Genomic DNA, 9824 nt, shown 5'->3' on the forward strand with positions numbered 1-9824 from the left:
TATCCTAGATCAGAGAATTAGGTCATCAGAGACCAGATGAGCACTTGCAATGGTTTTGGATTTTATAGGCTCTGTGTTACGGCTGCTTCATAGTTAAACTCAAGGCTGCTCTAGAGGCCAACACCAAGGATGAAGGTATGAGTATTATTCATCAGTTAATCTGATTAGGCTAGGCTATTCTGCAATATTAAGTCCAAAATACCATTGGCTTAACACAATAAAAGTTTATTTCTCAATTGTACTAAGTTCAACATAGGACAAGTGAAATTCCTCAGTGTTGCAACCACACCAGTTGGGTCTGCATCCTCCAAAGTTGCAGTGGCAGGAGGATAATGGTAGAGATTTGCTTGGGATGCATTTAAAGAGCAGTCCTGGAAGAGGTTTATGTCACCTTCTGTCATTGACCAGAACACAGTAACCTATCTCCAGATGAACCACAAGGGAGACTGGGAAGTGTTGTCTTTCTGTGTGCTGCTAACAGAAAAATTATGTTGAACTCAGAATAGTATCTCTGCCATAGCCAGAGTAGTAGAGTTCATCCCTTTAATTAGGTGGACTCCTGAGGCCCTATTTAGGACAAGGCTGTTGTTTTGTTTGTTTGTTTGTTTAAGACAGAGTCTTGCTCTGTCACCCCAGACTGGAGTACAGTGGTGTGATCTTGGCTCACTGCAACCTCCACCTCCCGGGCTCAAGTGATTCTCCTGCCTCAGCCTCCTGATAGCTGGGATTACAGGCATGTGCCCCCACACCTGGCTAATTTTTGTATACTTAGTACAGATGGGGTTTCACCGTGTTGGCCAGTGTGGTCTTGAACTCCTGACCTCAAGTGATCCACCGCCAAAGTGCTGGGATTACAGGCATGAGCCACTGCGCCCAGCCAACAAGGCTATTTAAAAACTGCCTATAGCTATGCCCTCTCAAAAGGTCATTCCAATTAAGTACTCCTTAATTTTCATTTTATCTACTAAAGTTTATGAAAGGGAATTTTGAATGAAGGAAAGTGAACAGAAATAAATAAGAATTGATGTTTTTCAGAACTGATCAACAGTCAGTGACATACTTTGGCAGAAAGCATTTTTCTTTGTTCAATTAACAGGCCCAGCCCTGAACTTGGAGTTTCTAGAAAATCACTTGCAATTGCAGTTTACTTGAAGCAATTCAGGTGATTGAGCCAAATATTTTATTTTTAAACAGCCTAAAGGGTAGAATTTCTGGAGGTCAAGAAGTGAAGATTGGGAAGACCACGACTTTGCTTCAGGCTAACCCTGTCTGTTTTATGGCTTGCTTTATGAATCAGATGCTTCCAAGCTGTAATTATGTACAAATTATGAGTTTGGTAATATGTGGGAAACAGAACTGAGTAAAGCATTGTCCTTATCTACAGGGTGCCTATAATCTCTTTGGAGAGATTCAGATAAATATTAACAAATAGCAAATTGCACAATGAATATTGCTAGAATGAAATAATAGCATTGTAGATAATTGCACATAAAAGAATAAGTTAGCACTGTAGGGATTTGGGAAAGGTTTGGAAGGAAATATGATAGCATAGAAGCTGAATTTTGAGGAGTGAGGTAAACTTTTAATAGAAGTTGTGATACAAAACATTCCAGGATGGTGAAATAGTATGAACAGTTACAGCTTTGTAAATTGTAAATGTGTATTGTGAAATGTTCAATAGCTTTGTGTGGCTGAAACAATGCATTGAAGGATACAGGTGAATAGAAGGAAGAGGATATTGGAAATTTTTATTTTACATATGAAGGGGCCAAGTCCAGGTGCTCTGATTTCTAGACCAGGGCCTTCTCTGTTTCATCTGTGTGCATTGAGAAATTAAGGCTGTCCAGGTAGGGTAGAGTTGGATTATGCAAGTCCAATTATCTTTCCTTTGCAGGGACTGTGGCTGGAAACTTGTTAAGGGTAGTGAGTAAAATTTAGTGGTTACAGTGGGATGAGACATGACTATTTTCATTGACTGTCATCAGGTTTCCTCCTAAGAATAGACTACTTTAGAACTAAGAGGCTTATTTGACACCTCCCCACCAGACCCCACCTCCAAAATTGCAGGTCACATTTCAATATGTGATTTGAAGGAGATATATATCCAAATTATGTCAACTGGTAGAAGGTATAAACTCTAAATGAGACATGAATAGGAATGTTTGAGTAGAGGGAAAGCAGAGGACGTGAGATAAAAGACTAGAGCAGAGAAATTGCTAGGAAACTTGGCAAAGTTACCTTCTGGGTCTGTTGCCTCCTTTATCAAATGGAGTTAATAATATTATGTACTTCTTAGGCCACTAGGACAATAACTGAGAGTATTCCTTCATTTAAATCAGTTAGCATAGTGCCAGTAAGTTAGCATTATGCACTTACATGATAAATGTAGGATGAGTAATAGATATTCTTATTGTTTTCTATTGTTGTTGATGTTTTTAGAGGCTGGAATACGAGGAGTGAGAAGAAAACAATACCACCCATGTCTTAGTCAATTTTGTATTGCTATAAAGGAACACCAGAGACTGGGTAATTTATGAAGAAAAGAAGTATTTTTGGCTCACAGTTCTTCAGGCTGTATAAGAAGCATGGTGCCAGCATCTGCTCGGCTTCTAATGAGGCCTCAAGGAGCTTTTAGTCATGGCAGAAGAAGAAGTGGGTCACATGGCGAAAGAGGGAGCAAGAAACAGAGGAGGAAGTGTCAAGCCTTTAAACAACCAGTTCTTATGTGAAATTTAGAGTAAGAACTCATTCATTACCACGTAGGGGCATCAAGCCAGTCATGAGGGAACTGCCTCCTAACCCAACACCTCCCACTAAACCCCACCTCTAACACTGGGGCATCACATTTCAACAGGTGATTTGAAGGGAACAAACATCCAAACTACATCAACCAATATAAGGTATAAACTCTGAATGAGATATGAATAGGAATTTATGAGTATAGGGAAGCAGAGGAGGTGAGATACAAGAGAAGACCTGGTAGAGAAGAGAAAATTGTTAGGAGTGGCTGAGAAACGTTTAATATGATTTTTAAAAACTCTATTCAATTTTAGTTTATTGGTTTCTCATGCTTGCTTTCCAGGTGGAAACCACCAACCAATTGGAAGGTGACTAGGGTGAATATAGCCCAAGGAACTTGCAAAACTCTTTGGAGGGCCAAGGAGTAAAGGACTTCATTCAGGGTGTGACATGGTGGGCCACACCCATCAACAGAATCTCAGCCAGGGCTTCAGAACTAATGTAAAAAGTTACCAGGTTTATAATACTTAAAGAGTTTTGGTTTCCTATGGCTTTTATATTCATACTTTCCATTGTTATTTTGTGGTTCAATAAAAATGAACAAACTGTGTTAGGATCTGTTTCAGTTAAAGTTTTATGGTATTGTGTTGACTTGAAACATTGACTCTTAGGTTAAAAATGGATGATGGATTCACAAGAATTGGAGAAAAGTGCTTTGGGATTTTGAGATAAAGATTATATGTCAGCTTTTCTTATGAGGAGTGGTACTTAGTGGGAAGGACACTGGACTGGAAGTCAAGAGATTTTAGACAAGATCCTTCTGAATTGTAATTTCCATTCCTCTAAAATAAAGCTAATCCCTATTTCACAAAGTCATTAAAAAAACAAATTATCTCAGTCAGCCTAGTATAGTACTAGGAACATAGCTGTATTCAAAAAAGCTTGTATGTGTTATTTCAACAAATATTTCTTAAATAGCTATCATGTATCAAGTGCTATTCTCAATGCCAGTGGAAAAACAAAAATGTGTTCTCTGCCTTAAATAAGTTCATTTTTAGTGGCTAAGTAAGAGAGAAAAAGACAAAAGAAAATAAATAAAATAGTTATAAGCTGTAATAATTGTATGCAGAAAATCAAGAGACTGTGATAGAGAATACCAGTGGCATATTTTAGATTGGCTCGTTCATAATTTCTGAATTATGTAGATTTAAGAAACTATTGCTCTAAGTTTAAAGCAGATAATAATATACATTTGTTTTTACCTTTCCTTTCCATTCTGACATGCTTGCTGTTTGACCTTGGATGATCTCTTTCAGGTGAAAAAATCTTATAACTCAGTTACAAAGACTTAGTTTTACTGCTAATAATGAACGTGGAACTTATAGTCCTTTGCCTTCTACTCTGTCCAAATCTGATGAGTTATTTTAGCCTAGAAAGGTAAATAATTAAAAAGTTAGGGAAACAACAATTGGATCACAGATTGCCATGATGCATAAAAACACTTTGTTATGAATCATGTGTCAAAGGAAATGTATGCTTTGTAGGTTGCAGCCTTTCAAACCCTGAAACTGGGCAAATGTCTGAATCTCTGGACTTATTTGTTTTTTTAGTAGAAGAATAAACCATTGGTGACTCGAGTCATCTAAATAATCATTTTACTACTCAAACTCTTCTTCCTTTTTTATAATGAAGCTGCAGGATTTTTAGAGCTATTTTTATCCAGATAATAATTTACATAGAGCTCATTAAGTAGAACACATAGTTTTATCTGTAAAAGGTTTTCTGAAAAAAAAATTAAAAAGAATGCCTAAGAGACTTTTAGAGTTAACTACCCCTCCTTGATCTAACAACATATTACAGTAAGAAGTTATAAAAAGAGAAGACAATATAGATTTCCAATTATCATATTAATCAGTTGGGCCTGCTTCTAAAAACCAACCAGTTATTCAGTTTCTAAAACCTTAACATATATTTTGAGTGAGATTCAGCTAAGCCTAGCACCATACAATGTCAGAGTTGGAAGAGAGCTTAGGAGAATGGCTCCTGAACCTGACAGGTGGTCAATCTCCCAGGGAGCTTATAAAATATATGCACCCAGAAGTTCTATGCTAGTCTTACTAAATCAAATCCTTGCTGAGTGGGGCCACGAAATCTGTACATTTATCAAGTTCTCAAGATAATGAGAAGCTCAGTTTGGAAATTTCTTTAAAGTACCATCGAAGGCACTGAGATCCAATATTGCAATGGGCATTTAAGATATTAAAAGTAAATGGGGAAGTCATGTACTCATGTATTCATTTTATTTTTTAATTAATATTTATTTTTTTATGTACATAGTGCTTACTTACAGGCAAAGGATGCAAAGGTGAAAAAATATGATCTCTGACTTCAAGTATTTATTATTTTTTAGAGTCAAAAGGGTGTAATAATGTAAATAGGTGTGTGTGTTTTTCCTAGAGCCTCAAAGAGTGTGTATATTTTATTTTCTTTTTCCCAAAACCATGAGGTTCAGATACTAATATTCCCAAAGTAATATTTTTCCTTTTCTACTCTATGTTAAGTAGAGGTACAACACATATGATTAACAGATTTTTTCATGGGAACAAAAAATAAATATTAAAGAATAAAAGTGAACATCATTAGTGTTTATTCTAGGTATTGAACTAAGCATTTTATTTGTTCACATATAATCCTCACAATGACATTATCAAATGGGACTATCACTATTCCTATTTTATAACTGATGAAACTGAGACATAGAAAGGTTAAATAACGTGCCCAGAGTCACAGAGCCTGTAGGTAGTAGTGCCAGAAGTTGAGCTCCAGAGTTGGTGGGCTTACTCACCATATGATAGTGACTCTGGAATAAAGGAGAAACAAAAATAATTTTTGCCATAAACTATCCAGTGGCACACTGTTGTTAGTAACAGATAAGACAATGGTATTCTGACGTTCAGCAAGAAGGAAATCACTGGGATAACTACGTATTATAAATTCTTTGTTTCCAGTTCCATAAAATGTATACCACCAAAAAGAAAAATTCTGACTGCAGGGAAGCAGTACACTCTGTAGACCCCGGAGAAAAATAAATCACCATGAGATTTGACAACAATCAATTTTTCACTGCACGCTAATCAAGCAGATAGAAAGAAGGCCATGGTAAGTGATTTACTTAGTTAAATCTTTGAGGGAGGAGAGTTAGTTAATTCATAGAGCTGTATGCTTTATACATTGACAAAACCCAGCAATGTCAACAGTATAAAATGTGTATCATTCTAACAATGATGAATGCAAATGCGTAGGATGCTCTGTCTGCCTGCTTAATTTCAGAAAAATCAAGACACTTCTATTTGGCAACTGGTGCCTGAGTCCTGTTGTTCCCATTAACTTACCCATGGATGTGTGGCAATTTATTTCTCAGGGAATTGTTTTGAGGCTGCTCTGGCAACAACAACAAAAAAACACCAGATAGCTCTCCTTGAGATAAATGCATGAATGTGGCTAGATGAGTATCCTTATTAAGGAAATAGACAAATTGTTTCCTTATACCTTGAAGTTCCTTGGCCATCTGGGACTTACTTTAGGATATCCTGGAACCTGCTGTCAGCCTTCTCCTGTTCTACAGTGTCCCTTCCATCTTCTCATTAATCAAGGTTTGACTGCATCAGTCAGGTTAGTCTGGGTTATGCTGCAGTAACAAGCAACCTTCAAGTCTAAACAGCTAAACCAAGCAAAAGTGTATTACTTGCTAATGTTACATGTGCAGCAAAGAGGGGTATGGAAGTCTTGAGCTTAATATAATCATCTAGAGTCAGGCTAAAAGAAGGCCTACCTCAATTCCAGTGTTTTCAATGACCAGAGGAGGAAAAGGAAATGTGGTAATTACACATTGGCTCATAAGGCTTCTGTCTGGTAAAAATTAGATGTCACTTCAGATTCAGACTACTTTTCTTATGCCAAAGCAAGTTACATGACTTTGAATAATTTTAAAGGAAATGGGTAAAAGATGTGAAATAGAATACATAACCAATAGTCTTAATGTAAAAACAGGAGATATAGGAATCTTAGACATGCTGGTGAGTGCTGAGAATTTAGGAGCACCCACAACCTGATCTCTTGGGTTTCTAGCTGCATGACTTCATGAATATCTTTTCTTGTCTTAAGCATCTTCCTGTACCTCAGCCCAGGGCCAAGGTTCAATATTTAGGATAGTCTCTTCTCTACAGGATAAGGAGAAGACAGGGTTAGGAGCAACGAATACAGATCATAAACTGAGAGGCCCATGTGCTGTTTTTAAAACAAAAACTTTATAGCTTTTGCGTAAAAACCAAAATTGATGGCAGGTGAGTTTGGATGCTTCCTGCTCAAATCTAATTAAGCCCTCCAAAAATGTCTAATAAAAGTCTTGCCCAGCCAACTTGCATGTTCACCCCCCCTTATCACTTCTCCCTCTGTCCTAGATGGTTTGCTTTTGATTATTTAAAAAAAAATTACATATGGTTGCAGTCGTTAAAAGCCATGGAATGTAGCAATAACCATGGTATTATTCTTCAGTGTCCACCTGCAGAGCTGACTCTACCAGAGAAGAGTTCACCCCTCCTTAGCAAAGTGCCCCACGCAGCTGCCACACCACACTAATTGGAGTGTGTATCAATGTCAAAAGCCATCCCATTGCTAATATCATAGTTTCTCACTTTGAAGGAGGAGCAAGCTAATTCCACAGTCTTCTCCTGTAGGACAAATGCTAGGTAAATATTTTATGTCATTAACAGTCTTCACTTTTAATTTCACATTTTACAAGAGTGTGACTTGGAGTGAAAGCTTTCATTTATCTCACCAGAAGACATAACATTCTTCAAAAGAAGAGAAAATAAAAATGAAATGAGCATTTGCTCTTATTTGTCCTTATATTTTAATTCTCTTCCTAGTAAGCCCAAGGAAAAGCAAGTGTCTACACATTCCAACCAAGGGTTCTAAATCTGGGCGTTCCAAAATACTTTCTCCCAGTGGAATCACGGACCTCGAAATTACTGGTAGGCAAAGAATCCACATAATACATCTTCATCCACTTTATCAGCAAGTCCTAATTTCTGTACCTTCAAATTCTGACTCTGTTTTTCCCACCACTTCCACCAGAACTACCCTAGTCCACGCCACTATCATATCCCACCTAGGTTAGTTATTGAAATAGCTTCCTAAGTGAACTGAACTGCATGATTCTACCCTTGCTCTGCTATGGTCTATTCTTGACTCAAAACCTATAGTGTTCTTTTTCACAGTAAATCATAGTCACTCCCATTTCATAACCGTTTAGCAGATTCATATTACAGACAGAGGGAGATCCAGATTCTTCTATAGTACACAGTGAAGCCTTGGTTTCTGACTTCAGCCTCTACCATTCTTCTCTTTGTCTGTATTCCAGCCAAATAGGCCAACTTACAGTTTCTTGAACATAACAAATGTGCTCAAAGTTTTTGTACTGTACAAGTTTTTTTTTTCTCAATGCTTAAAATCTTTTCCTTAAATCATACTGATTGTTTGCTTCTTAACTTGATGAAATGTCTGGTCTAATGTTGCCTCACAAAAGAACCTTTTCTTGACTGCCCTATTAGTTTTCTATAGCTATTTAAAATAGAAAACTGATTCCTATTGCTTTTTAAAAACCCCAAAACTCAGTGGCTTAACATAATAAATACTTATTATCTTACATAGTTTATGTGGGTAAGGAATCTGAAAGCAACTTAGCTTGATGGTTCTGACTCAGAGGTTTCAGTTAAGTTGTCAGCCAGGAAGGTAGTCACCTGAAGGCTTGACTGGAGCTGAAGTACCAAATTCTAAGGAGGCTCCCTCAAAGTCCTAGCAAATCAATGCTGGATGTCTTCAGAAGACCTCTGATCATCAAATCGACAATCCAGGGATGATTCCATATTTTCAAAACACGGTAGCTGGCTTTTCCCAGGATGAGTGGGTGAAGACAGAATAAAAAGGAAGCCTCAATGCTCTTTATAACTTAATCTTGGAAGTCAGCACACCTTCTCTTTCATTTTATTCTACTTGGTGGAATACTAAATCCAACTGTTACTCAAGGAGAGAGAAATTAACCACCTCCTCTTGGAAGGAGGAGTATCAAATAATTTGCAGACCTTTTTTTCCCCTTTCTTTCTTTTGAGACAACGTCTTGCTCTGTCATCCAGGTGGGAGTGCAGTGGCGTGATCATGGCTCACTGCACCCTCGACCTCCAGGGCTCAAGTTATCCTCCCAGCTCTGCCTCCTGAGTAACTGGGACTATAGGCACATACACTAGGCTAACTTTTGTGTTTTTTTGTAGATATGGGGTTTTGCCATGTTACTCAGGCTGGTCTTGAACTTCTGGGCTCAAGCAACTCACCTGTCTCAGCCTCCCAAAGTGCTGGGATTACAAATGTGAGCCACCACACCTGGCCAGAAGGTTCTGGAAACCACTAAAACAAGTAAAACTGTATTCCTCATGCCATTCCTCCTACAACTGTCTCTCTCTGTGTCCTGCTTCATTCATCTTTATGCCATTTATGACTCATTATATCTCTCTAAATAGACAATAAGGTAAAGTTAAGAATAGAGACAATAAGGTAAAGTTAAGAATCCTTAGACCAGGTTTTGTGAATTCAAGTCCCAAGTCTATGACTTATGGAGAGTAAAACCTCAGACAAATTATATAACTTCTCTGTGACTCAGTTTTTAGATCTTTAAAATTGGCCACTGAGCACCTACCTTAAAGAGTTGTGGGTGCCGGACGTTGTGGCTCATGCCTGTAATCCTAGCACTTTGGGAGGCCAAGGCAGGTTGATCATGAGGTCAGGAGTTTGTGACCAGCCTGGCCAACATGGTGAAACTCCGTCTTTACTAAAAATACAAAAATTAGCTGGGTGTGGTGGTAGGCGCCTGTAATCTCAGCTACTTGGGAGGCTGAGGCAGGAGAATTGCTTGAAACCGGAAGGTGGAGGTTGCAGTGAGTGGAGATCCTGCCACTGTACTCCAGCCTGGGTGAAAGAGTGAGATTCCATCTCAAAAAAAAAAAAAAAGAGTTGTGGGGAGGAATAAAAGA

General features: G+C 38.0%; 1 long non-coding RNA gene across 1 annotated transcript; it reads right to left on the minus strand.

Annotated features, from left to right (window-relative positions):
- Positions 1–3945: 3945 nt before the first annotated feature.
- LOC105372043 (uncharacterized) lies at positions 3946–9569 on the minus strand. Its single transcript, XR_935326.2, has 3 exons — positions 9491–9569; positions 6319–6460; positions 3946–4168 (listed from the first exon to the last, which is right to left on the minus strand). It is a non-coding gene; the product is annotated as an uncharacterized LOC105372043 (long non-coding RNA).
- Positions 9570–9824: the final 255 nt, after the last annotated feature.

This window comes from Homo sapiens, chromosome 18 (assembly GCF_000001405.40).
Source record: "Homo sapiens chromosome 18, GRCh38.p14 Primary Assembly".
In the NCBI taxonomy this organism is placed as follows: Eukaryota; Metazoa; Chordata; class Mammalia; order Primates; family Hominidae; genus Homo; species Homo sapiens.